General features: G+C 56.9%; 1 protein-coding gene across 3 annotated transcripts in view, besides 11 other annotated features; it reads left to right on the top strand.

The window, feature by feature from the left end:
• Positions 1-17,910, top strand: part of ZNF787 (zinc finger protein 787) — a 33,930-nt gene extending 16,020 nt beyond the window's left edge. For 2 of the 3 annotated variants that reach the window (NM_001002836.4, XM_047438164.1), the window contains exons 2-3: positions 2,049-2,137; positions 16,184-17,910. In NM_001002836.4, the coding sequence (NP_001002836.2) occupies positions 2,059-2,137; positions 16,184-17,253 (1,149 nt within the window). In that variant the 5' untranslated portion in view covers positions 2,049-2,058 and the 3' untranslated portion in view covers positions 17,254-17,910. Of the gene's footprint in view, positions 1-2,048; positions 3,627-16,183 lie in introns of those variants that run through there. The other variant, NM_001351682.2, reaches the window with a different exon arrangement.
• Positions 12,841-13,346: an enhancer, noted in NCBI's record as "H3K27ac-H3K4me1 hESC enhancer chr19:56603299-56603804 (GRCh37/hg19 assembly coordinates)". NCBI's record gives its function as "activates a minimal SCP1, AML or CMV promoter by ChIP-STARR-seq in naive H9 embryonic stem cells {active_cell/tissue: H9 hESC(naive)}" and the evidence as "EXISTENCE:reporter gene assay evidence [ECO:0000049][PMID:30033119]".
• Positions 12,841-14,057: a biological region, named in NCBI's record as "MED14-independent group 3 enhancer GRCh37_chr19:56602588-56603787".
• Positions 12,858-14,057: an enhancer, noted in NCBI's record as "MED14-independent group 3 enhancer chr19:56602588-56603787 (GRCh37/hg19 assembly coordinates)". NCBI's record gives its function as "activates an origin of replication core promoter dependent on BRD2, BRD4, P300/CBP and CDK7 cofactors, and independent of MED14, by STARR-seq in HCT116 cells {active_cell/tissue: HCT116}" and the evidence as "EXISTENCE:reporter gene assay evidence [ECO:0000049][PMID:35650434]".
• Positions 13,347-13,852: an enhancer, noted in NCBI's record as "H3K27ac-H3K4me1 hESC enhancer chr19:56602793-56603298 (GRCh37/hg19 assembly coordinates)". NCBI's record gives its function as "activates a minimal SCP1, AML or CMV promoter by ChIP-STARR-seq in naive H9 embryonic stem cells {active_cell/tissue: H9 hESC(naive)}" and the evidence as "EXISTENCE:reporter gene assay evidence [ECO:0000049][PMID:30033119]".
• Positions 14,187-14,356: an enhancer, noted in NCBI's record as "experimental_51805 CRE fragment used in MPRA reporter constructs". NCBI's record gives its function as "activates a minimal promoter by MPRAs in K562 erythroleukemia cells, with activity observed for both the introgressed and non-introgressed 19:56602374 variant alleles {active_cell/tissue: K562}" and the evidence as "EXISTENCE:reporter gene assay evidence [ECO:0000049][PMID:34662402]".
• Positions 18,329-18,928: an enhancer, noted in NCBI's record as "H3K27ac-H3K4me1 hESC enhancer chr19:56597714-56598313 (GRCh37/hg19 assembly coordinates)". NCBI's record gives its function as "activates a minimal SCP1, AML or CMV promoter by ChIP-STARR-seq in naive and primed H9 embryonic stem cells {active_cell/tissue: H9 hESC(naive and primed)}" and the evidence as "EXISTENCE:reporter gene assay evidence [ECO:0000049][PMID:30033119]".
• Positions 19,264-19,763: an enhancer, noted in NCBI's record as "H3K4me1 hESC enhancer chr19:56596879-56597378 (GRCh37/hg19 assembly coordinates)". NCBI's record gives its function as "activates a minimal SCP1, AML or CMV promoter by ChIP-STARR-seq in primed H9 embryonic stem cells {active_cell/tissue: H9 hESC(primed)}" and the evidence as "EXISTENCE:reporter gene assay evidence [ECO:0000049][PMID:30033119]".
• Positions 19,764-20,265: an enhancer, noted in NCBI's record as "H3K4me1 hESC enhancer chr19:56596377-56596878 (GRCh37/hg19 assembly coordinates)". NCBI's record gives its function as "activates a minimal SCP1, AML or CMV promoter by ChIP-STARR-seq in primed H9 embryonic stem cells {active_cell/tissue: H9 hESC(primed)}" and the evidence as "EXISTENCE:reporter gene assay evidence [ECO:0000049][PMID:30033119]".
• Positions 23,759-23,818: a silencer, noted in NCBI's record as "silent region_11063". NCBI's record gives its function as "represses an Ori minimal core promoter by ATAC-STARR-seq in GM12878 lymphoblastoid cells {active_cell/tissue: GM12878}" and the evidence as "EXISTENCE:reporter gene assay evidence [ECO:0000049][PMID:35858748]".
• Positions 24,149-24,298: an enhancer, noted in NCBI's record as "active region_15111". NCBI's record gives its function as "activates an Ori minimal core promoter by ATAC-STARR-seq in GM12878 lymphoblastoid cells {active_cell/tissue: GM12878}" and the evidence as "EXISTENCE:reporter gene assay evidence [ECO:0000049][PMID:35858748]".
• Positions 24,589-24,648: a silencer, noted in NCBI's record as "silent region_11062". NCBI's record gives its function as "represses an Ori minimal core promoter by ATAC-STARR-seq in GM12878 lymphoblastoid cells {active_cell/tissue: GM12878}" and the evidence as "EXISTENCE:reporter gene assay evidence [ECO:0000049][PMID:35858748]".

Here is a 26,142-nt window from a genome sequence, read left to right as displayed (position 1 = left end):
CCTGGCGGCCCTGCCCTTCCCTGATCTGTGCGAGGGTTCAGGTTCCAGCCGCGCCTGCAGGAGGGTGGGAGAAGGGCTGGGAGGGCTGCCTCAGAGCCTGTTTCATTTTATTTTTTTATTATTTATTTATTTTATTTTATTTTAAATTTAATTTTTGAGACAGAGTCTTGCTCTGTCGCCCAGGCTGGAGTGTGATCTCTCCTCACTGCAACCTCTGCCTCCTGGGTTTCAGCAATTCTCCTGCCTTAGCCTCCTGAGTAGCTGGGATTACAGGCCCCTGCCACCAGGCCTGGCTAATTTTTGTGTTTTGGTAGAGATGGGGTTTCGCCATGCTGGCCAGGCTGGTCTCGAACTCCAGACCTCCACTGATCCACCTGCTTTGGCCTCTCAAAGTGCTGGGATTACAGGTGGGAGCCACCGCATCCAGCCAGGGAGCCTGTTTTAAAAGAGAGATCTGGGTATGAACCCTTCAACAACTCGGGCGCGTGGCAAAGGCTCTGCTCTCCACTTTAGCTGTGTGTGTGCGTGGCACCGCTTGGTGGTGTGCGTAGAGAACCCTCACAGTGCATGGCACAGGTTGGTGTTGGTGTGCGTAGAGACTTTCACAGTCACGGGTTGGTGGTGTGTGTAGAGATCCTCTTGGTGCATGGCACGGTTTGGTGGTGTCATGTGTAGAGACCCTCATGGTACGTGGCACGGGTGGGTGGTGTGCGTAGAGACCTTCCTGGTGCGTGGCACGGATCAGTGGCGTGTGTAGAGACCCTCACTGTGCGTGGCACGGGTCGGCGTGCGTAGGGACCCTCCCGGTGCGTGGCACGGGTCGGCGGCGTGCGTAGGGACCCTCCCGGTGCGTGGCACGGGTCGGCGGCGTGCGTAGGGACCCTCCCGGTGCGTGGCACGGGTCGGCGGCGTGCGTAGGGACCCTCCCGGTGCGTGGCACGGGTCGGCGGCGTGCGTAGGGACCCTCCCGGTGCGTGGCACGGGTCGGCGGCGTGCGTAGGGACCCTCCCGGTGCGTGGCACGGGTCGGCGGTGTCGTGCGTAGGGACCCTCCCGGTGCGTGGCACGGGTCGGCGGTGTCGTGCGTAGGGACCCTCCCGGTGCGTGGCACGGGTCGGCGGCGTGCGTAGGGACCCTCCCGGTGCGTGGCACGGGTCGGCGGTGTCGTGCGTAGGGACCCTCCCGGTGCGTGGCACGGGTCGGCGGTGTCGTGCGTAGGGACCCTCCCGGTGCGTGGCACGGGTCGGCGGTGTCGTGCGTAGGGACCCTCCCGGTGCGTGGCACGGGTCGGCGGTGTCGTGCGTAGGGACCCTCCCGGTGCGTGGCACGGGTCGGCGGCGTGCGTAGGGACCCTCCCGGTGCGTGGCACGGGTCGGCGGCGTGCGTAGGGACCCTCCCGGTGCGTGGCACGGGTCGGCGGTGTCGTGCGTAGAGACCCTCCCGGTGCGTGGCACGGGTCGGTGGTGTCGTGCGTAGAGACCCTCCTGGTGCGTGGCACGGGTCGGTGGTGTCGTGCGCAGAGACCCTCACGGTGTGTGGCACGGGTTGGGAGTGTCGTGTGCAGAGACCCTTAGGCGCCTGTTGCCCTGTTTCTGCTGTGATGGGTAAGTATCTGCCAGGGGTGTGGGAACTCCAGTCCCTGTTTGGCATGAGCACCACATGTACACTGTCTTGTGTACGCTTGACAGTAACATGTTCTCCATCTTGCCAGTGAGGAAGCTGAGGCGCGAGGAGGCGCGAGGTGGGGTTGCTTGCCCCAGGTCCAGCTGGGGAGTGGTGGGGCTGGGATGGGAACTGGCGGTGGTTGTAGCCCTTGAGGGTCCTTGAGTCCTTCCTGCGGCTGTGTGAGGCCTTGGCTGGCCCCTGCAGTGGGGAGCGGCCAGGCTAGCTCCAGGCCAGTTCTCGGTGTCCTGGGGTAGGTGCTGTGTGCCTTGTCTGCCGGGCGCTGTGCCTGTCACGCCGGGGTCTGCAGGCTGCCTCCCTGCAGGGCCCTCGGTGCAGCCTGGCACCCCATAAACTCTGTCCTTCTGTCTCATCCCCTTCTAACAGGGACCCAGACATGGAGCTGCGGGAAGAAGCCTGGTCTCCGGGGCCGCTGGATTCTGAGGACCAGCAGATGGCCAGTCACGAGAACCCAGGTGAGCAGCCAGAGGCCTTCCCAGCCGACCCCGCTGCCTCCCACCTGACCCTGGCTTCCTTTGCCTCTGGGTGGGAGGAAACCCCCCTTCCCTGTTTTCCCCTCTTGGGGCCCTGGGACCACCCGACCCTGGCCTCCCCTCCCGCCCTGGGCCTTGCACTCCTGGCTGTAGAGGGAGGGCTAGTGTTGTGGCTCCAAGTTTCCTTTCTGCTGGATGATCTTGGGGACCCCTGGGGGCCACCTTCTCTGCCTGACTTCCTCTGTCCTTGCCCCTCCAGCCTGGGCAGCACCCCCGTCTGTTGAGGGTGCCCCCTTCCTCTCCCCACAGCCCCGCCTCCACATCCTGGACCCTCTGCTATGATTCCAGGCGGGCCTGTGGCCCTCCCTGGCAGGAAACTCCTTACACCAGGGGTGGCCCAGGAGCGCAGGGAACCCGCAGGCTGATGCCGACTTTTCAGGGAAAGCTCAGGAGTGCAGGGAACCCGCAGGCTGACGCAGACTTTTCAGGGAAAGTTGTCAGTTTGGGTTTTTATGTGAAATCCTTCACTTTTTGGACATTGGCAATGTGTTTTGTTTGTTTAATAAAGCATTATTGGGGTTGAGCAAAACTCATTTGTGGGCTACGTGGGGCCCAGGTTTGCTTGCGAAGGCCCCATGGTGACCTCACTGTGGCCCCTGACACCTCATGGCCTCCCTCCCCTCCACGGAGGCCGCCTCCCTGCCTCAGACCTGAGGAATAAGGTGCGGCAGCTTCTCTCCTTGCTGTGTCTGCATGTCAGGCCCCAGGTCCCAGGCCCACGCTGGCCCCACGCTGGCCGGGGCTCAGCAGACCTTTTCTGCAGAGAGCCAGAGAGGAAATACTGTTCATCTTGCAGGCTGCGGGCCTCACAGATACCACGCAGCCACAGTCCACACGGAAATGCGTGGGCACACTTGATGCAGAAAGGCCGGCAGAGCTTGCCAGCTCAGGCTGGCATAGCTGAGTCGTCCCATACAAAGACCGGGGTGAAGTTTGGGATCGATTTTGTAAAGCACCTCAGCCCCTTTTTGAGTGATTTCTGAGATCTGTGGATGGAGCATGAACAGAAGCTCCCTGTGGGCGGGGCTGTGGCAGCCTTGGTCCCGGGGTAGAAACTATGATGGGGGTTTTGAGTGCGTTGCCAGGACCGCATGCCCAGGGGGCCCACACCCCGGCCCCAGGCTGCCCCGCGTCTCAGTGGGTGGTTGCCATCCCGCACCGCCACAGCCCTCGAGGGCTGCCCCTGCCTTCTCCCTCGCATACATCCTTGGCCTTCGAACCTTTTCGAAAATTAATTCTGTGGAAATCTCAAGTGTGTGGACGCAGTGTGATGAATCCCTCTTCCTGCGCCAGCGATTCGCGGCACTGCTGGTCCCTTTCTGCCCACTGTGGTTCTCTTTCCACAGCGTTTTAGAGAAAATATCCATCACATCATTTTGTCTGTAAATTCTCCAACATGTAAGGACTCCTTGAAAAAAAGAAAAAGCCCTACAGGAAGCTGATCTCATCTAACAAAATGTCATTTTTCAGGAACTTCATCTAATCTAGCACCCGGTCCTTTTTAAAATACTTCGTTGTCTCCAAAATGCTTGTCTTTGAGTAAGTTCATCTTTAATTTTACAAGTCACTCATACACTCACTCTCTTTGTAGAAGGTAGGTGTCAGGTCCCCTTGTCCAGCCCGCTGCCCTGCCCAGCCCTGGCCCTGCGTCTGTGGGAGTCCTGTCCCCCACCAGGCAGCTGGCTCCGGGGAGGGCCTGCGCTTGGCGCCGCCTCTGGAGCATCACCCCTGCGTGACGCCCTTGCTCGGCTGTCAAAGATGGGCTGCGCACGCTCCCAAGCTGCTCTGGTGTCCGGCGTTCGCGTAACTCCCGTGTGGGGTCCCGCCTACATGCGTCCCCCCTATGTGACAGTGACAGACATCGTAGGTGGGGGTGGAGTGGCGGGGGTTGGCCTGGCCATGGCGTGTGGAGTCCCGCCTACATGCGTCCCTCCTATGTGACAGTGACAGACATCGTAGGCGGGGGTTGGCCTGGCCATAGCATGTGGGGTCCCACTTACGTGCGTCCCTCCTATGTGACAGTGACAGACTTCGTAGGTGGGGGTGGAGTGGCGGGGGTTGGCCTGGCCATGGCGTGTGGAGTCCCGCCTACGTGCGTCCCTCCTATGTGACAGTGACAGACATCGTTCGTGGGGGTGGAGTGGTGGGGGTTGGCCTGGCCATGGCGTATGGAGTCCCGCCTACATGCGTCCCTCCTATGTGACAGTGACAGACATCGTAGGTGGGGGTGGAGTGGCGGGGGTTGGCCTGGCCATAGCATGTGGGGTCCCGCTTACGTGCATTCCTCCTGTGTGACAGTGACAGACATCGTAGGTGGGGGTGGAGTGGCGGGGGTTAGCCTGGCCATAGCATGTGGGGTCCCGCTTATGTGCGTCCCTCCTATGTGACAGTGACAGACATCGTAGGTGGGGGTGGGGTGGCGGGTGTTGGCCTGGCCATGGCGTGTGTGGTCCCTTTTCCTCTAGCCTATTGCTGAGGGATATGGGGGCCCATGGGGCAGGCATCTGGAGAGGAGCATACCCTGGAGGGGCAGGGGAGCATGCCCGCCAGGCAGAGAAAAGGGAACCAGCAGGGCTCGCAGCCCACCTGGCCCCAGCCTCTTCTGCGGAATTAGCGTCCAGGCCCTCAGCCTACCTTGTGGGGTCCTCAGACAGGGAGGAGGCAACTTTCACCATCCTGCATGTGAGCAGTGGCCTAGGGAAGGTTGAGAAGGAGGCAGAGAGAACCAGCAGCAGGAGGTGTCAGCCTGAGCACTTGCCAACCCCAGCCCTGCAGTGCTGGGTCATGGGGCAGGGTGTCTATGTCCTGTGTTGGAGGCAGGAGATGCTGGTTGGAGTGCCAAAGAGGGAGGGTGCCACCCGAGCCAGGCTGCAGGCACTCAGCACAGAGAGGCCTTGGGGTAGATGCCGTGGACCAGCGGGCCCTCACCCCGGACCCTTCCTCAGCTCCTGACTTCCGTGTGTCCCGGCACCTGCTCTGGGAATACATCCCGAGTATGGTCGCTTCTTCCCACCACGGCCCCAGCCCTGTGGCCTTACACACAGTCACGGCGCACTGGCCTTCCTGCGACCTCTGTCCCTATCCTTGTCCCCTCCTGAGCCTCTTGGGGAGGAGGCGAGATCCCGGCGCCGTGCTCAGAACCCTGTGAAGGTGTCCTGGCTTGACGGGAGCGAGAATCCGCCGCCTGTCCAGCCTCCCAGCCCTACACACTGTCTCCCCGTCTGCCTCCCAGCTGGTCTTGGACCCCTGACACGGCCCCCAGCCTGCGTGGCCCTGCTGCAGTTTTCTTCCCCAGAGGGTGTTGTGTGACTCGTCCTTTCTCTCTCTCTCTTTTCTTTTTTTTTTTTTTTGAGACGGAGCCTCACTCTGTCTCCCAGGCTGGAGTGCAGTGGTACGATCTCGGCTCACTGCAACTTCCACCTCCCAGGTTCAAGCGATTCTCCTGCCTCAGCCTCCCAAATAGCTGGGATTACAGGCACCCGCCACCATGCCTGGCTGATTTTTGTATTTTTGGTAGAGACTGGGTTTCACCGTGTTGGCCAGGATGGTCTTGAACTCCTGACCTCAGGTGATCTGCCCGCCTCGGCCTCCCAGTGTTGGGATTACAGGCATGAGCCACCGCACCTGGTGTGACTCCCCCTTTCTGTCCCCTTCCGCCAGCTCTCTGCTCCATGAAATGCTGTCTCAGCAGAAATGTCCCCATGTCCCCTCCCCTGCGTGCCTGTCCTTCAGCTTCCTGGAGATCACTCCCTGGGGCACCAGGTCGCTCAGGGTGCAGACTGTTCAACCAGAGGGTCCCGTCTTGGGGGCCAGGCAAGGCTTCGTTCACGGAGGAAGGGGCTTTGGGCTGCCCTGCAGGGGATGTGGCAGTGTGGCTCGAGGGCCCTGGGAAGCCACTGGGCAGTGGGGACGCTCTCAGCTGCTGATTACAGGGAACCCGGACAGCAGTGGCCTAGCCCAGAAGGACTTGATATGTTCTCGGGCAGCTGGCCTGCAGGCGGGACAGATCCAGGGTGGCCTCTCTCCTGAGAGCCGCTTGTCTCTGGGCCCCTTGCTGTGACGTCCTGGCCACACCGAGGCAGTGCCTCAGCCCCAGGTGGTGGGTCCCCAGGAAGCTCCGGCAGTGTCCTGCTGTGCCACTTCTCTCTGGTGCCGCCTTATCACCTAGGCTCCATCACCCTGCGGCCGTATCACCCGGGTGGCCATATCACCCTGCGGCCGTATCACCCTGCGGCCGTAATCACCCGGGCAGCATCACCCTGCGGCCGTAATCACCCGGTGGCCATATCACCTAGGCTCCATCACCCAGCGGCCGTATCACCCTGGCGGCATCACCCTGCGGCCGTAATCACCTGGTGGCCGTATCACCTAGGCTCCATCACCCGGCGGCCATATCACCCTGGTGGCATCACCCTGCGGCTGTATCACCCTGCGGCCGTAATCACCCGGGCGGCATCACCCTGCGGCCGTAATCACCTGGTGGCCGTATCACCTAGGCTCCATCACCCGGCGGCCATATCACCCTGGTGGCATCACCCTGCGGCTGTATCACCCTGCGGCCGTAATCACCCGGGCGGCATCACCTTGCGGCCGTAATCACCCTGCGGCCGTATCACCCTGCGGCCGTATTACCTGGGTGGCATCACCCTGCAGCATGGGGTTGCCTGTCTTTGGGCCTCTCCTTCTGAGGAGTGTGAGAGGAGAATGGGTTCTGAAGCTCCCAGGCAGGCCTCACTGGCCAGGGCAGGTGGGTCCCCACGATCCAGAGGAATCCCAGGCAGCCCACACTTGGGACCTTCTTGTGAAGAGGAAAGGAGTTGGACTGTGGGTAGCTCCCGGCCATGTCCCCTGTTCAGAGGTGTCCCCAGGGAGGCTTGGGTGGTTGGAAAGCTTTCTGTGGCTGTTGTGGGGAGAGCAGCGTGCCAGGAACCCCTGGCACATGTTCCTTCCATGGAGCTGTATGGGCCCCAGGCTCCTTCACCCAGGCCCATGGCTTTGCCTCAGTGTCCCTGGAGACCTGGGTCGGGGGTGGGGCCTCGGGTGCTGACCGGGGGTGCCCTTGCTGGGCTTAGCAGGCCGGGCTTCAGCATGAGGTTGTCTGAACAAAAGTCTCCATGCCTCTTCTCCCCCAAGCCTCCCGAAATTCCAAAGGTTTGAACCTCCCCACCCCATCTCTTACTGGAGGTCACTCCAGTAGGGTTGCCCCTGCTGATGACCAGAAGGCCCCTGAGAGACGTGGCACAGCAGGGTGCTGTGTGTCCCCTGGGCCAGGTGGCTTTGTCCCTGGGGTCTCGGCTTCCTTCATTTTAGTAAACTGGCTCTGCAGCGCCTTTGCCGTCAGGGCCGGGGGTAGTTGATCCCTCGCGCCGTGCCTGCACGCAGGAACACAGCCAGATAAAAAGAAACGTACGGATTTTATAGGAGACCAAAATAAAAGTTCCACAGAACAGTTCTTCCTGTGCTAGCAGCACGTGCGGGTGTTTCCTCCTCCTGCCTCCATTCCGTTTCATTTACATGCTGGCCGCCGTCCACGCAGTCCATCCTACTGCCTGCCGGGCTGAGGCCCGCAGTGGAGACGCGAGGCGTGGCCTGTGGTGGGCGTGAAGTTCACAGCACGGCGTTTCCCACGTGTAGCACGGTGAAGAACTGCATGTGAGATTGGAAAAGCCACAAAGCCAGTGTTCTTTCTGGTTAGATAGATTGACCTGGGGCGTTTTTGAAACCTTAGAAATTTTGTGATTTTTTTCTGTATTTGAGTATTTCTGGGAGGTGTGTTCAGATCCTCTGAGCTAATACTGGTAGGAATAATGGCCGGCACTTCATAATCACGTCCTGTGTGCCTGCAGTCAGTGCAGCCCCCTTAGGTGGTTACCTTGTTGGATTTGCACAAAACCCCATGAGGTCTGGGTGCTGGGAAAAAAGGGCCGAGACACCTGCCTGGGCCGTGGAGCTGGGGGCTGGTGGGTGGCATGCAGCCTCCTGCAGGCTGAGGCCGGGGCTCCTGAAGATCTCAGGAGGGTGAGACCCATGGCTCTAGGCTGACTGGCGCTTCCTAACCTGCCTCCTGGGGCCTTTTCTCCTGATGACCCCAGATGGAGTTCCCGATGTTGAGAGGGTGAGGGGTGTGGGACCGGGCAGCGACAGCTCAGGCAGCCTCAGAGCTGTTCAGATAACGAAATAAAGACATTCCGCTTCTGAGGAGGGAGCGGTGCCAACAGGAAAGCTTCAGCCGGTGTCTTACAGCTGGAGTTCTGGCTGCCCTCGGGTGAGCACGGGCTCCATGTTTCAGTGCACCCTCATCTCTCTTTATTTTATTTTGTTTTATTTTTATTTATTTATTTATTTTCTGAGACGGAGTCTCACTCTGTTGCCCAGGCTGGAGTGCAACGGCACGATCTCGGCTCACTGCAACCTCTGCCTCCCGGGTTCAAGCGATTCTCCTGCCTCAGCCTCCTGAGTAGCTGGGATTACAGGCACCCGCCACCATGCCCGGCTAATTTTTGTAGTTTTAGTAGAAACGGGGTTTCACCATGTTGGTCAGGCTGGTCTCAAATTGCTGCCCTCGTGATCCACCCGCCTCGGCCTCCCAAAGTGTTGTGATTACAGGCATGAGCGGCCCAGCCTATCTCTTTTTATTTTTTGGAGACAGGGTCTTGCTCTGTTGCCCAGGCTGGAGTGCAGTGGTGCCATCTCTGCTCACTGCAGCCTTGACCCCCTGGGCTCAAGCTGTCCTTCCACCTCAGCCTCCTGAGTAGCTGGGACTCCAGGCACACGCCACCACACCCAGCTAGTTTTTTTATTTTTTTTATTTTTTTATTTTTTTTATTTTTTTAGAGACGGGGTCTCACTATGTTTCCCAGGCTGGTCTCAATTTCCTGAGCTCAAGTTAACCTCCTGCTTTGGCCTCCTAAGTAGTTGGGACTACGAGTGTGAGCCACCGTGCCCGGCCAGATGACAGTTCTGAGTGTTGGGTGATGGCAGAGCAGCCACAGCGTGGCCCTTGAATCTCCTGTATCCCTGCATAAAAACACGGCAACCAGGTAGCAAAACTCAAGTTCCCTGGATCACAGTTGCAAAGTTACTAGGTCCTAAGTTATCCCCATGAGTTGCAAAATACAGCTGGATGAGGATAAACCACCGAGGCCTGTGTGGTGTTAGCATCTGACTGGGAGGAGGGAAGCAGAGGAGAGCCACAGACAGCCTGCAGGTCTTCACTGCAAAGCTGGGCAGGGGAGTCGGGGTCACTTTAGGACCAGCAGCTGAAGTAGGAGCTGTTTTGTCCAAACCAGGGTAGTGGGGAGAGAGGCTGGTGGGAAGGCCCAAAAGGGGCTGGGGCAGCTCAGGCCCTGCAGCTCTCTAAGCAACCAGGTAAAGTGCTGTGCAGGGCAGAACCTCATGTGAGGAATCAGAATCGAGCAGGGCCCCTGTCCTTGGCAACAGAGGAAGGCAGGAGAAGGTCCTGATGACAGTGGGGACAGCGGCTGGAGTGTGTGCATCTGTGCAGGCTGGTTGCAGCGTTTTTACCTGCTGTGTGAGAACCTCTGAGAAGTTAGAACAGCTACCCTGAACCAAGCCGCCTCCTAGAAATTCAAGGAAACTTATACATAAAATGAGCAACAGAAAAATACTGAGTTCAACCTTCCCAAAAGTGATTATAATAAAAAAGATAAGGGACAGGATGGCATTTCTACAGATAGGCAGGCCGGAAGTGCATCCCAACAAGATCAAGATCATTTAGTACAGGGTCCCCAGTCCTTGGTACTGGTGCTGCTCCGTGGCCTGTTAGGAACTGGGCCACACTTGGGGAGGTGAGTGGCGCATGAGCGAGCATTACCACCTGAGCTCCGCCTTCTGCCAGGTCAGCGGCGGCATGAGATTTTCACAGGAGCGGGAACTGCACATATGAGGGGTCTAGGTTGTGTGTTCCTTATGAGAATCTTATTTTTTGAGATGGAGTCTCGCTCTATCACTGAGGCTGGAGTGCGATGGTGCGATATTGGCTCACTGCAACCTCCACCTCTCGGGTTCAAGTGATTCTCCTGCCTCAACCTCCCGAGTAGTTGGGATTACGGGCACACACCACCACACTCAGCTAATTTTTGTATTTTTTTAAGTTAAGATGGGGTTTCACCACATTGGCCAGGCTGGTCTCGAACTCCTGACCTCAGGTCATCCGCCTGCCTCGGCCTCCCAAAGTGCTGGGATTACAGGTGTGAGCCACTGAGCCTGGTCCCTTATGAGAATCTAATGCCTGGTGATCTGAAGTGGAACAGTTTCATCCCTGAACCATCCCCTGCTACCTCCCCACCCTGTCCGTGGAAAAATTGTCTTCCACAAAACCAGTCCCTAGTGCCAAAAAGGTTGGGGGCCGCTGATTGTGAACGAGCTGAGGCAGTGCAGCGTGTGAAAGAACAGCATAATCACAAACTCAGAAACGAGGGGGCAGCCTCGGCAAAGATTTGCAAATAAGAACAAAAACCTTTCAGAATGAAGACTAATGTAGAAGGAACTCAAGAATAAAAACATCGTTCTTTAAAAAAATTGAAGGCAAGAAGGAGGATCATTTTAAAATGAGAAAAAAAAAAAAGGCGGGGCGTGGTGGCTCATGCTTGTAATCCCAGCACTTTGGGAGGCCAAGGCTGGTGGATCACTTGAGGCCAGGAGTTTGAGACCAGCCTGGCCAACATGGAGAAACCCTGTCTCTACTAAGAGCACACACACACAAAATTAGCCAGGTATGGTGGCTCATGCCTGTAATCCCAGCACTTTGGGAGGCCAAGGCGGGTGGATCACTTGAGGGCAGAGGTTCAAGACCAGCCTGGCCAACATGAAACCTTGCCTCTACTGAAAATGAAAAAAAAAAAAAAAAAAAAGCCGGGCATGATGGCTCATGCCTGTAATCCCTGCTACTCGGGAGGCTGAGGCATGAGAATCACTTGAACCTGAGAGGCGAAGGTTGCAGTGAGCCGAGATCATGTCACTGCACTCCAGCCTGGGTGACAAAGTGAGACTGCGTCTCAAAATAAATAAATAAAATGAAAAAAGATTAAAACAGTTTTAAAGGAAACAAGTTAGGAAAAGAAAATCCAACATATGGATAGGCAGAGTCCCTGAAGAAGAGACCCAAAGCAAAAGAATAGAGCGGATAGTAAAAACTCATTCAAGGAACACCCCTTAACACATGAAAGCTGCGCATTGAAAGAGCAAATCACAGATGGTTGCGTTAGAATTGCTGGACGCTAAAGGAAGTCACCGATCCTTCGTGGCAGAAAGCGTGGAAGACTTGGAAAGTCAACATGACTATGCTCGGACTTAGCACTTTATGCCAGGAGAAAATGGCATTATGACTCACGGAAAAGGGACCTTCAGATGGGAAGGGTACAGACAGGCTACCCAGCAACAGCCCTGTGAACCCCGTTCCTCTGTGCCCTTCCTGAGGAACCTAAAAGCGAATGAGCCTCAGACAACTGACCAGGGAAAGGGATGGGAGGAGGGTGTGAGCAGGTCAGTCTCCTGAGCCCGAACATGTCTCAGTCGGCCAAGACCTGCACCTGACGGAGGGGATGCAGCCGAGAAAACACTGAGGGGAAGGAGGACGGTGCGTGCAGCACAGTCCAGGAGTTGTGCCTGGCAGTGGTAGCAGTAGCATTGTTACCCTGAGATCGCGTGTGCACCCAGCAAGAGGGTTGTAATATAGGGCATCCCAGTTCCGCCATCTCCTGCGTCTATGGAATATTCCACTTCCGCCATCCCCTGTGTCTATGGAATATCCCACTTTCGCCATCCCCTGTATCTATGGAATATCTCAATTCTGTCATCCCCTGTGTCTATGGAATATCCCACTTCTGCCAACCCCTGTGTCTGGGATATCCCACTTCCGCCATCCCCGTGTCTATGGAATATCCCAGTTCCGCCATCCCCTGTGTCTATGGAATATCCCACTTCCGCCATCCCCTGTGTCTATGGAATATTCCACTTCCGCTACCCCGTGTCTATGGGGTAGCCCACTTCCACCATCCCGTGTCTATGGGGTAGCCCACTTCCGCCACCTCCTGTGTCTATGGGGTATCCCACTTCCGCCATCTCGTGTCTATGGGGTATCCCAGTTGCGTCATGCCCTGTGTCTATGGGGATCCCACTTCCGCCACCCCCTGTGTCTATGGGGTATCCCACTTACGCCATCCCCTGTGTCTATGGGGATCCCACTTCCGCCACCCCTTGTGTCTATGGATATTCCACTTCCGCCACCCCCTGCGTCTATGGGGTATCCCAGTTCCGCCATCTCATGTGTCTGTAGGATATTCCAGCTCTGTCATCCCCTGTGTCTGTGGGGTATCCCACTCCCGCCATCCCCTGCGTCTGTGGGATATTCCAGTTCTGTCATCCCCTATGTCCTTGAGAACCAGGATTCTCCGTGGGGCTGAAGGGAGGTGCAGATGTCACAAAGAAAAGGATGAATGAAAACTTTAGTCCTGAATTTCTATGGGAAGTATCAGTGTGAACTCAGGAATTTTATCTTAAAAAAAAAAAAAAAAGCATTTCCAGATTTTGCTCTAGAAACATTTATCTCCCGTGGAGGGGAAACCTGGGCTTCCTGGAGTAGTGGTGCTGCAGGTGGGGCAGGAGGCGTAGAGGTAGAGCCTGGGGCGTAGGGGATCTGGAGTGGAGGACCGCCCCCCAGCCCATCCCCTCGGGACCTCAGCTGAGTCCTTCAGTGAGAGGACAGTGATAGTGTTGGCCATGGATTAAATGTGGTAATCCACGGAACACATTTAGCCCAGGGCCAGGCGTCTGGGGACACTGCCCTCCCCCAAGGGTAACTGCTGCCACCATCAGAGTGGCCCCGGCCCTCATTGTTTCTTATTTTTTTAATTGAATGAGAACTCTTGTGCTCCTCACCGTGCTCTTCTCTTGCTGGGAATTCGTTGAATCCCTTTAAAGATGGTGCTGTGAGGTGGAGAAGGCTGTTAGCCTCATTGCTCCTGTGAGGGTGAGGGTGAGGGTGAGGGTGAGGCTTCGGCTTCGGCTTCGGCTTCGGCTTCGGTTTCGGCTTTGGCTTCCGTTTGGCTTCGGTTTCGCCTTCGGCTTTGGCTTCGGTTTCGGTTTCGGCTTTGGCTTTGGCTTCGGCTTCGGCTTCGGCTGCGGCTGCGGCTGCGGCTGCGGCAAGTGGAGCGGCTCATCTTGGCCCATGCGCGGTGCAGACGCAGCCTCTTGTCAGAAACCAGTCTGTGCCTGTGAAGCGCGGTTTCCTGGGCCTTACTGAGATGCAGCACGGGAAGGTTTGCGCAGAGCCCAGGAATCTGCAAGATGTAAAAGAGCCCTGCCTTTTAAGTAATTAAACCCTGTCCATTTAACAGTGCTTAACTCGTACTTAGAAAAAGTAGTGCAGAGATGCCTGTAGAGAAGCCAGATCGCCTACGGCCTAAAGCAGAAAACAGCTCCCACCTCCTGCCTTCCCCACTCCCAGTTTGCCTCTAGAGGAAGGAGCCCCTCCATGCACTCTTTGGGGTTCTCCCTGGTTCTAGGTAAAGAGCTCATGAAATTGCTTTGATAGTTGCAAATCTAATGGGAGGTGAGGACATGGCTCCCACATCCTCTCCCCACTCTCCACTCACTGCGCTCTCCACGTACTGCACACCCGCCCCAGTGCCCCTGTCTTAGCTGCCACTGTGTCACAAGTTTTGTGTTCAGAATTCATGTCGTCATGAATAAATGCTATTCATAGCTGAGTCACAGGGAGCATTGCTACACTTTCTTTCTTCACAGCTTCGAAAACAAAGCAGTTATTTTAATTAAAGGCGTAGAAGCACTTGTAAGGTTCAGATAGTATGGCTCGGTTTACGGTGACAACAAATCTCTTTCCTGCCCGTCCCTTTCTGTCCCCTTCAGTCACACTGCCCCGGGGCAAATAGCTTCTGATGTTTGTTTTTAATTCTCTCTACATCTTTAAGTAATGTGCTTATAACTTACAACATTTTTTGATTTATGTTGACAACGCAGTGGGCTCCATGCCATCTCTCCAGAAGGCTCCCCCCTTCCTGACTTCACCTGGAGTGTTTTCTTCTGCCGCAGGTTCAAGAGCCATATTCGAATACTCTCTGCCTTGGAATAGTGATTCTCACACTGGAGCTGGCATCAGAATCACCTGGGGGGCTTGCTGAAGCACAGGCCCGGCCCGGCACTTTCTCATACAGTGCGTCTGGAGGGAGGCCTGAGCATAAGCGTTTTTGTTTTGTTTTGAGATGGAGTCTTGCTCTGTCGCCCAGGCTGGAATGCAGTGGTGTGATCTCAGCTCACTGCAACCTCTGCCTCCCGGGTTCAAGTCATTCTCCTGCCTCAGCCTTCCAAGTAGCTGGGACTACAGGCATGCGCCACCACGCCCGGCTAATTTTTGTGTTTTTAGTAGAGATGGGGTTTTGCCATGTTGGCCAGGATAGTCTTGAACTCCTGACCTCAAGTGATCTGCCCACCTCGGCCTCCTAAAGTGCTGGGATTACAGGCGTGAGCCACCGCTCCGGGCAGTGCATAAATGTTTTTAATATGTTCTCTGTGGCGCCGATGCTACTGGTCGCAGGATCCCACTTTGTGGAGCACTCCCTTAGCGTGTAGGGTGTGCTGCCTGTGGGTGGGGGATTTAGCGGTGGGCGGCCGCAGTTAGTGGTAGATGGCTGTTTCTTGGACCCAGTCTACTAATGCGCTTCTGGGCATTGCCACTTTGTAGTCGTGTAGCTGTGGGCTGTGACTCGACTCCCTAGTGCCTCAGTTTCTCCCTTGTAAAGGCTCAGTTTTGTGCTCCCAGCTTATGAGGACCTGACGCTGAAGTGTGTAGCGCAGGGGGGCGTCATGGCCCTTCCTTGCGTGTTTGCCAGCGTGGCATCTGGGAGGGTGTTTGGGCTCTGTGTGCTGGGCACCACCGTGCCAGGTGTTGGGATAGAGACTTAGGAGCTTACAGTCTAGTAAGGTCAGGAGTGAGAACGTTGTAATTGTGATTCATGGCTTTGAAAAAACCCTGTGGGGTGCACCTGGGGTGTCCACGGGGGTCAGAGATGCACTTGCTGAGGCCCTCCCACCTGATTCTGTTGCTCTGGACCAGGCCCCAAGGGAGAGCAAATGTAGAAGCTGCACACGGACCCTTCTCAGGAGTGAATGAGCTGGGGAGGAGGCAAGCCCATCCCTCCCGGGAGAGCCCCCAGGGGCAGGCCTGGTGCAGAAGTGTGAAAGGCCTCGTTGACTGCTGGAAGGGCGTCCTCAGTGTAAAGATGTGCAGGCAAAGCCCTGTGTGCCCGAATTGTCCTCACTGAGCAGACAGGAGCCCCCACACCAGGGGCTGACCATAGCCTCTGTAATGGAGGTGGCGTTGAGCCAGGTTTTACTCCCAGGTTCGGAGGTGGGGCTTTCATGCTCATCTCCAATCCCATTACCTGTCTGCAGCCAGGATTGTCTTCCTGGAGCCCGAATGTGACACCATCGCTCCCTGGCGGGCACGTCTTCAGGGTGCCAAACCCACTCCCTGGCTCAGGACCAGGTGTCCAGGGCTGCATTCAAGCCCTGCGGCCCCTCTGCCTAGTGGAACCTTTGCCCGTGAGCCTTCCTCATCCTCTGCCCCCGGCGTCCAGGCTGGTGTTTTGGGTTTCGGGGTCCTTTTCTGGGAGCCTTCCGTGGATCCCGCCCCTCGCCCATGCCTCTTATGTTGCCTGGTTGTTTACAGACCAGGCCTTCTGTGTCTGGGGCATTGTTCTAGAGGTTGGGGGTAAACTGAGGGTCTTAACTCACACAGAGCTGAGGTCTTAGCTGGGGAGAGGGGTAATAAATACTTAGTAAAATGCAGGGAGTGATGCACACTCTGAGGACACCAGGGCAGGTCCTGCGCCAGGGGGAGCGAGGCACCCGAGGCCAGCGTAGCAGCCAAGGCAGGCGTGGAGCCCTTGCCTCTCTTGACTCACCTCCCCCTACCCTCTTGCTTTCCAGTGGACATCCTCATCATGGATGATGACGACGTCCCCAGCTGGCCTCCCACCAAGCTGTCCCCGCCCCAGTCTGCGCCCCCAGCCGGCCCGCCTCCCCGGCCGCGGCCGCCCGCCCCCTACATCTGCAACGAGTGTGGCAAGAGCTTTAGCCACTGGTCCAAGCTGACGCGGCACCAGCGCACGCACACCGGCGAGCGGCCCAACGCCTGCGCCGACTGCGGCAAGACCTTCTCGCAGAGCTCGCACCTGGTGCAGCACCGGCGCATCCACACGGGCGAGAAGCCCTACGCCTGCTTGGAGTGCGGCAAGCGCTTCAGCTGGAGCTCCAACCTCATGCAGCACCAGCGCATCCACACGGGCGAGAAGCCCTACACCTGCCCCGACTGCGGCCGCAGCTTCACTCAGAGCAAGAGCCTGGCCAAGCACCGGCGCTCGCACAGCGGCCTCAAGCCCTTCGTGTGCCCGCGCTGCGGCCGCGGCTTCAGCCAGCCCAAGAGCCTCGCGCGTCACCTGCGGCTGCACCCGGAGCTGTCGGGGCCTGGCGTGGCGGCCAAGGTGCTGGCGGCTAGCGTCCGGCGGGCCAAGGGGCCCGAAGAGGCGGTGGCGGCGGACGGCGAGATCGCCATCCCCGTGGGCGATGGCGAGGGCATCATCGTGGTGGGCGCGCCGGGCGAGGGGGCCGCGGCCGCGGCAGCCATGGCGGGCGCGGGGGCAAAGGCCGCGGGGCCCCGGTCGCGGCGCGCCCCGGCCCCCAAGCCGTACGTGTGTCTGGAGTGCGGGAAGGGCTTCGGGCACGGGGCCGGGCTCCTGGCGCACCAGCGGGCCCAGCACGGGGACGGGCTCGGGGCGGCGGGGGGCGAGGAGCCGGCCCACATCTGCGTGGAGTGCGGGGAGGGCTTCGTGCAGGGCGCCGCGCTCCGGAGACACAAGAAGATCCACGCGGTGGGCGCGCCCTCGGTCTGCAGCAGCTGCGGACAGAGCTACTACCGCGCGGGCGGGGAGGAGGAGGACGACGACGACGAGGCCGCGGGCGGGCGGTGCCCCGAGTGCCGCGGTGGGGAGGGCCGGTAGGGGAGGGGCCCGGGGGGGGGGGCGGGCAGGGCCCCTCGGGCTTGGCGGGAGCGACGACGTGCAAGACCAAGAGACCCAGGGAGAAGCGGACGGGGTGCGATGGACCCCGCGGCATCCCCGGCTCCCCGCCCTCCTCTGTCCCTGCGCCGTCCGTGGGGGGGCACTGGGGCGTATTAGGGCCCGTTCACTTCTCCGCCTCGAGACTCTGCCCCCTCAGCCTGGCCCGCCCTTCCTAAGTTATCGGCCTGCGAGCCGGAGAGACAATGGAGAGAACTGCAGAGGCCGAGTGGCGACCAGGCCCCAAGCGGAAGGCCATTTTCCCTGCTCTTCCTCAGTTGTCCGGGGCGGGGGTGGGGGGTGCTGCGAGGAATGGAGAAACCAGGCCCTTTAGAGGATCCCAGAGAGGGAAGAGAACCAGGGGCCCTTTTCTCTTTTAGAATTTTCTTTTAATCAGCCCACCTTTTGACTCCCCGCCCGCCCCAATCCATTATTTTTTTCTGCCTTCCGGGTCCCATCCTTAGAGCTCGAGTCGTTCCTTCCCCTCCTGGATTCCGGGTAGCAGAGGCAGCGCCGCAGGAGGCGGGTGCCCGTTTGTCCCAGGCCTGGGCGTGGTGGAGGAAGGGGTGCTGGAACAATAAACGGCACTATCCAAATGTCCCCCTCTGCGTGGTTCTTGAGTCCGGGAGGGAGAAGGGCAAGAGGGGTAAACGGAGGCTCTCGCCGGGGCATCAGCAGAGCGTCAGCCGCGCCCCGGGAGTGGCCCGTTGGGTCGCCCGCGGAGGGCTCTAGGCAGGGGGGCCTGTCCGCGGATATCCTCACTATGGTGCGGGCACTCACAGGGCCTGGGAGCTGCTTGTAGATGGGGCAGGGCGGACTGGTCAGGGCCAGGCCTGCCCGCTGCAGGGGAAGGAGCCCCCACGGCTTCTACCACCCTCTCACAGGGGCGGCTGGCTTCCTCCACTCCTATCGTGTGGCCCCCGCCCCTAACCCCAAAAGCACCCTCCTCCTGCCTCCAGCTTCTGGGGGAGACTCTGACTGCAAAGGGCGCACGTCCCCCTACCTGGGTCGTTCACGGGGCTGGTCCCGTGGTTGCGGCTCCCTGCGAAGGAGGCTGGGAGATGAGGTCCCGGCGGCTGCCGCTCCGGGGACAGGACCCCCCGCCCCCTACGGGAGGAGGATGGTGCGCTCAGCTGTCTCTGCTGCAGGGGCCAGGCAGACGAGCCAGCCAGGGGCTGGGGGAGAGGGCGGGTATGCCACAGTCCAGCCGAGCGCTTAGGGCATTTCAGGCAGTGCGCGTGCCCGAGGGGCTTGGTCCGGTAGAGCCGCTGCAGCCGCCCTGCCAGGTGAGCGCTGTTGTTCATGATCAGAAGGGGGCTCGACCATGGCGACTGGTTTCCTGGACCCACAGCCCAGGTCCTGAGGACCCATGTTCCTGGGGCCTTGGGAGGCCGCAGTGAGGGTCCCAAAGGGGTATTTTCAACCTGGCTGAAGGCTGCGATTACTCAGGAGCGATTGGAGGCGGCAAGCTGCAGGCGTCTTTGACTTGGGGGTTTCATAGTAGAGGGGGACTTGAAGGAGAAATTCGGATTTCCAGTTAGAGCCCTTAATCTGCCCTTTCACACCCTGATGTGCTTGAGGAGGGTCCTGGGGCCTCATCTGGAGGCAGGGGGTTTAGAAACCAGGGCCACTGATGGTCTACAGATCCTGGAGGATTTGTTAGAGGACTAGGGAGTGATTGTGGATCAAAAAAGCGTGTTCTCAAGTGGCCAGAGCCTTGCTTAGATAATTGGTATTGCATGTCAGTTTTTGAAATTTCAGGTCACTCGAAAGGAGGGGGTGAACCTTGGCAGTTCAGAGTGGGCTGGGTTAGCAAAGACTGAGGAAGCATTGCTCACTTCTCCTAGGGTCCTTCTGTGGAGCTCTGGCCTTGGGCACTTCTGGAGGCCTGGGAGGATGGGAGGTGCCCTGTCTGGTAGAATTGGCAGCTCGGTGCCCCATAAGTCGGGCACACTGAGTCTCGGGTCAGCCTCTTCTACCTGCTCCAGTATATGGTGGCAGGAGCTGACACCTATAGCAAGAAAGATTCAGGGCAAGTTTCCACCCTGCCCCTTAAGGCTGTGTGACCCTGGGCAAGTGGACTAACCTCTCTGACCCTTGGCTTCCTGCCCTGTGGAAAGGAGAGCTTGCCTGCCTGCCTTGTATGACTGTGTGTGGAGGGGGGAATCCCCAAGCCATGTGTTAACTCACTGGAGCTGCCCTCCCAGGCATGAGCAAAGATGCAGGGGCGAGGAGCCAGGCTCAAATCCCAGCTCTGCACTACTCATCCCACTTTGTAATACAGAACTGAGCGAGCTCACATGACCACCTTGACATCAGCCTGCACCGGACCCAACACCTGACCTGTGCTTTGGTGTCACACGCTGTCCGTTACTGATTCATGCACTCAGGTAGTCATTGCCCACCCCTCACTCACTCATTCTACAAATGTGTTTTGGGCAGCAGCTCCGTGCCCAGTAGGCACGGCGTGGGTCCCAGGTAAAGAAAGGAACATGGGTTCTTGTGGCACTTGCCGTCGGCCCTGTAGTTCACCTGCATTGGAGCTGCTCACCCACGGCAAGGTGAGGCTAGGCGGCCGCTCCATGCTCACAAACCCACCCTGGCAGTGACCGCAGAAGTTCCTTCGGCCCCCATTCCTCTCATGCTCACTTTGGTGGAGGGCACGCCCAGACTCGTTCACGCCCCTTACGGAGTCCAGTCCTCACAAAGGCCCTGTGTGGTTGCCATCATTCCTCGGCTGCTGCTGCTGAAGCTGGTACGAGGAGAGGAAGCAGCCTGCCCAGGCTACTGGTTTGTAAAGTGGTAGAACCTTAATCTGGATCTAAAGTCCTGACACCCATGCCCCCCACCCCCGGCCCCCTGCTGAGTTGATAATCCACTTAATCTTAGGTGTTTATCGGGCACTTCTTTCCTGTGAGGGACTCTGCTAAGCATGGGGGCACAGCAGTGACCTCAACAGGCACAAATCTCTGCTGTCATGGGGGCTGGGAGGGGATACACACAGCTAAGGGCTGAAGGGACAAAAAGAGGCTCTCAGGAGGCAGGAGGTGGAGGAGTCCTGGGCAGGGGGCAGGTGTGACAGGCAATCCCAGGGGGAGTGAGGGCCAGACAGGTGAGTGGAAAGGGACCCTCCACCCAGCTTACTCCCCAGCCTGAAGGCAGTGTTGATCTGGAAATGATTTTATTCCATACAGCCCCGTTTCCCTAAGGGTAGCCTGGAGAGTGTAGGTTCCAGGGAATATTGTTAAGATGTTTGGAGAAAACAGGATCTTGTATTCAAATAACCTGGGAAAATGCTGGATTCAAGTTTTCTTTTTTTTTTTTTTTGAGACGGAGTTTCGCTGTGTCACCCAGGCTGGAGTGCAGTGGTGCAATCTGGACTCACTGCAACCTCTGCCTCCTGGGTTCAAGCAATTCTGTCTCAGCCTCCCAAGTAGCTGGGAATACAGGCACCCAGCACCACACCCGGCTCACTTTTGTATTTTTAGTAGAGATGGGGTTTCACCATATTGGTCAGGCTCATCTTGAACTCCTGACCTCAAGTAGTCCACCCACCTTGGCCTCCCAAAGTGCAGGGATTACAGGTGTGAGCCACTGCACCCTGCCGGATTGAAATTTTCTCATACACAGAACAGTACTTGGCAGGTGGAAGGTGCTGAGCCAAGATTTAGTCGACTGGATGAATTATAAAACTAGCCCCCCACACCCACCCGGCTCAGAACTTTCCACTATGATTCTGTATACCCGGGTGGGGCTGGGGGCCAGGGCAGGGGTAGGTGAAAACATGCAGCATTTTCTGAACTTGTTCTGTCAGAAAACCTTCCATTTATAGAGCATCTTGGGCTGGTGTACTCCAGGCCATCCTTAGAGAAGTGCATGCATGTGAATTGTGTGTGTCTCTGCATGTATGAATGCATGTCTGTGTGGATGGTGCATCTGTATCTTTGTGCATATGTATGTCTGTGCGCATGTGGGTATGTGTGTGTCTGTGGTATACATCCACCCTCCTTCCCCTCATATCTACCACTCAAAGAGGCTGTGGGTGGGGACGGAGTTGCCTCTGGCACCATTGATTTTGCCTCCTCTCCTGCCTTGATGGACAAGTCTATCCAGAAATTCCCTATTTTCTGGCGCCGGTCTTTCAGCACCATGGACAGAGATTCCCCCCCCCCCCCCACCCCACCCCCCACCCCCACCCCCACAGCTGAGTCTGGGATGATGGAGCTCAGTTTAATCCATACGCGTTCCCTTTTAACGCCTCCCGATCAGTTCGAAGAGGGTATTGTTCCTATTTTACAGATAAGGGAACAGAGGCTTTGGGGAGGTTAAATAGTCCTCCAGGCTCTCACAGCTGATAAGTAGCAGAGCTTAATAGTCAGAATCTAATGCCAACACTTAGATCAGTCTATCTGTACCTTATGGGATGCTTGTGAAGTGGGGTGGCCACTAGCCATGACAGCAAGTAGACTGTGGACGGACAGCCTCATTCAGGCTGGTGGGGACTCTGGCAGGGGGATTTGGATCAGCAATTGATGTTTGGTCACAAATAAGATTTTTTTAAAAAAAGTAATGGATACTTTGAGGAAGAGATTACTTACCAAATCTCAACTCCCAAATTCCTCATTCTTCTTCCTGCATTATCCCTTGAAATACTCAGTGAATCTACAAGTGGGTTTAAAACGTAAATTTATCAGGCTGGGTGCGGTGGCTCATGCCTGTAATCCCAGCACTTTGGGAGGCCGAGGCAGGCAGATCCCTAAGGTTGGGAGTTGGAGACCAGCCTGAACAACATGGAGAAACCCTGTCTCTAATAAAAATACAAAAAATTAGCTGGACATGGTGGTACATGGCTATAATCCCATCCACTCGGGGGGCTGAGGCAGGAGAATTGCTTGAACCTGGGAGGCAGAGGTTGCGGTGAGCTGAGATCATACCATTGCACTCCAGCCTGGGCAACAAAAGCAAAACTCTATCTCAATAAATAAACAAACACAAACAAACAAATGTGCTCCAGCCTGGGCAACAAGAGTGAAACTCTGTCTCAAAAACTAAAATAAATAAACACAAACAAGTGTGCTCCAGCCTGGGCAACAAGAGCGAAACTCTGTCTCAATAAATAAATAAAATAAATTTATCAAATGAAAGCATTCCTTGCATATTATTCTGCCCCTTACATATGTATCTCTATCATCATCATGTATCATGTATATATCCACTATACATCATCTATCTACATATATTATCATTTATATACCAATCCATTGTCTTCTATTATTCCCTCTATGCATCAATTATCTATATCTGTCATCTATATGTAGCTATCATTTATGTATCAGTCATCTGTCATCTATTATCATTACACCATCCATGTGTCTATCATCTATAATCTATATCATACATGTATATCATCTGTTATCTACTTACATAGATATGTGTCAATTTATCATCTACCTCCATAGTACATATCTGTGATCTTCCTATCTTCACCATCTATTATCTCTCAATAATCTATTTGTGTACCCTATCTGTTATCTGTCATCTATCTTTAGCTATCTATGTATCTATCAACTATACCTATTTATGTATCTACCTATGATTGTTCCAAAGAGCCCTATCTACATTTCTTATTTTAAAAAACACTTTCAAAGCGTTCCTTTGTGCAGACACAGTGTTTAATTCCTGACTGACGTGCAGTCTGCCTGTTTCTAGTCTTCTGCTACTGTACCAATGCAGCAGGAAGAATCGGACCAAATCCGACCCATACCCTGTGCTGCTTGTCCTGACAGGAACTGTAAGATGAAGGGGAATGTGCGTTTGGATCCCAACAGATCCAGCTGTATCACCCTCCCCAGAGGTCAGACGCTTATCATGTCCCCAAGAATGTATGAAGTGACTGTCTCCTATCTACTCTCCGCAGTGAGGGCTTGGATATGGCTGATAGCTGGGACCCTGGGGAGCAAGGTGACGGTTCAATGTGCACCACTGTGTGTCAGGTGCTTCACTAATACCTTGTTTAGACCGGGCGTGGTGGCTCACGCCTGTAATCCCAGCACTTTGGGAGGCCAAGGCGGGCCGATCACTTGAGGTCAGGAGTTTGAGACCAGCCTGGCCAACATGACGAAACCCCGTCTCTACTACAAATATGAAAATTAGCTGGGCGTGGGGGTGGGCGCCTGTAATCCCAGCTACTCGGGAGGCTGAGGCAGGAAATTGCTTGAATCCGGGAGGCACAGGTTGCAGTGATTCGAGATAGTGCCACCGCGCTCCGGCCTGGGCAAAAGAGTGAGACTCCATCTCAAAAAACAAAACAGAACAAAACAAAACAAAACAACCTCTTTTAACCCTCCACTCTACAGACGGGAAAGCAGGCTCAGAGGGAAGGGACTTCTCCAGGACTTAAAACAAGACACAGCAAAGTTGGTTTCAGCTGCCTGGCTTTGCCCACACTGTTTAGACATGGCTGGATGTCGCTGGTCACAGAGAAGCCAGCCAGCTCAGAGAAGTGAAGCCACTCACTTTAGATCACACGCTCAGTAAATGGAGAACCCGATTCAAACTCAGGACAGTCGGACCCCACGCCGGAGCTGCTTTGACACCGTAGCCGCCTGGTGGAGTCACCCTCGACTCGTCGTCCGCTCCAGGCACTGGGGATGCAGCGGGGCAGACACGCTAGTCCCTGCCCTCAGGGATACAGACTGCGGCCTTCAGAGCAGGAAGTGAGCTGGGTGGAGGGTCCCCTTCCTCTTGCCCAGGTCTGTCTGGATCTCACTCCCCTGGGACCCGCCTCCCACACAGCTGCCTGTCACACCTGCCCATGCCCAGGACTTCCTCCATGTCTCACCCCCAGGGGTCTCTTTTTGTCTCTTCAGTCATCATCTGTGTGTGTCCCCCCCCGCAACCACTCCCACTCCCCGTGAGGGCAGAGATTGTGCCTGTCGAGGTCACCGCCGTGTCCCCTTGCTTAGCAGAGCCACTGGCAGGAAGTGCGTGCCCGATAAACACGGGCGAGTAAGTGGACGGAAAAGCTGAGCCGCGAGGAAAGAGGGGAACTTCCAAGGGCAGTTCAGGAAGCGTGGTCCAGGCGGCGCCACAGCAGGGGAGAGGCCCTGTGGGGCGCAAGGAGCGCTTGTTCACACGCACCAATAGCCACAAATGCAAAGCGCCCCAGCTGGAAGAAAGTTGAGGGGGGAGGAGGCGGTTAGGGTAGGAAAGTGGGATGTGGCGCCCCCTTGTGACCATGTCCCATCTGTGGTCATGATCAGCACTGTTAAGACACCAGCCCCTCGAGCCCAGCCGCTCCCAGTGACCAGGCCACACCGCTGTGGTCATCAGCACTGTTGGACACAAGCCCCTCGAGCCCAGCCGCTCCCAGTGACCAGGCCACACCGCTGTGGTCATCAGCACTGTTGGACACAAGCCCCTCGAGCCCAGCCGCTCCCAGTGACCAGGACACACCGCTGTGGTCATCAGCACTGTTGGACACAAGCCCCTCGAGCCCAGCCGCTCCCAGTGACCAGGACACACCGCTGTGGTCATCAGCACTGTTGGACACAAGCCCCTCGAGCCCAGCCGCTCCCAGTGACCAGGACACACCGCTGTGGTCATCAGCACTGTTGGACACAAGCCCCTCGAGCCCAGCCGCTCCCAGTGACCAGGCCACACCGCTGTGGTCATCAGCACTGTTGGACACAAGCCCCTCGAGCCCAGCCGCTCCCAGTGACCAGGACACACCGCTGTGGTCATCAGCACTGTTGGACACCAGCCCCTCGAGCCCAGCCGCTCCCAGTGACCAGGCCACACCGCTGTGGTCATCAGCACTGTTGGACACCAGCCCCTCGAGCCCAGCCGCTCCCAGTGACCAGGACACACCGCTGTGGTCATCAGCACTGTTGGACACAAGCCCCTCGAGCCCAGCCGCTCCCAGTGACCAGGACACACCGCTGTGGTCATCAGCACTGTTGGACACAAGCCCCTAGAGCCCAGCCGCTCCCAGTGACCAGGACACACCGCTGTGGTCATCAGCACTGTTGGACACAAGCCCCTCGAGCTCAGCTCTCTCCCTAGTGACCAGGCCATACCTCCGTGGTCATGATCAGCACTGTTGGATCCAAGCCCTTCGAGCTCAGCAGTTTCAGACCAGGCTCCGGAATATCCCTGCTGACACAGGGAGGGGAGGAGAGCAGAGGTGGCTGCACAGCCTAACCACTGGCCTCTGGTTTGAAAACTCATTTCTCTTTGCTAAACCCCATTTTCTCATTTGTAAAACCAAGAGCCTGGAATGAGTGTTTCAACTAAAGCCAAAAGAGGGAGTTGTGCCCAAACCATCCAGCTCCGTGCATGGGGTGGATTCAGGGTTACAAGTGCATCCTACGGGGCTGGAGAGAGCACCAGGCTAATAAGGGAGCCAGTGTGAGATGGTAGAGTGGGGAAACCAGAGCACTGTAGCCCAGGAGAAAGGAGCTCCGTTTCCAGCTTACACTGACTGTGGTCACCAGTAGGAAGTCAGACCTAACGATGCCAGAGCTTTCATTTTTTTTTTTTGAGATGGAGTCTTGCTCTGTTGTCCAGGGTGGAGTGCAGTGGCATGATCTCAGTTCACTGCAAGCTCCGCCTCCCGGGTTCACGCCATTCTCCTGCCTCAGCCTCCCGAATAGCTGGGACTACAGGTGCCCACCACCATGCCGGGCTAATTTTTTGTATTTTTAGAGACGGGGTTTCACCGTGTTAGCCAGGATGGTCTTGATCTCTTGACCTCGTGATCTGCCCATCTCGGCCTCTCGAAGTGCTGGGATTACAGGCGTGAGCCACCGCGCCCGGCCTTCATTTTTTATT

Source organism: Homo sapiens, chromosome 19 (assembly GCF_000001405.40).
Source record: "Homo sapiens chromosome 19, GRCh38.p14 Primary Assembly".
In the NCBI taxonomy this organism is placed as follows: Eukaryota; Metazoa; Chordata; class Mammalia; order Primates; family Hominidae; genus Homo; species Homo sapiens.
Note: the sequence above shows the minus strand (reverse complement) of the source record. Positions and strands in the feature narration are given on the sequence as shown.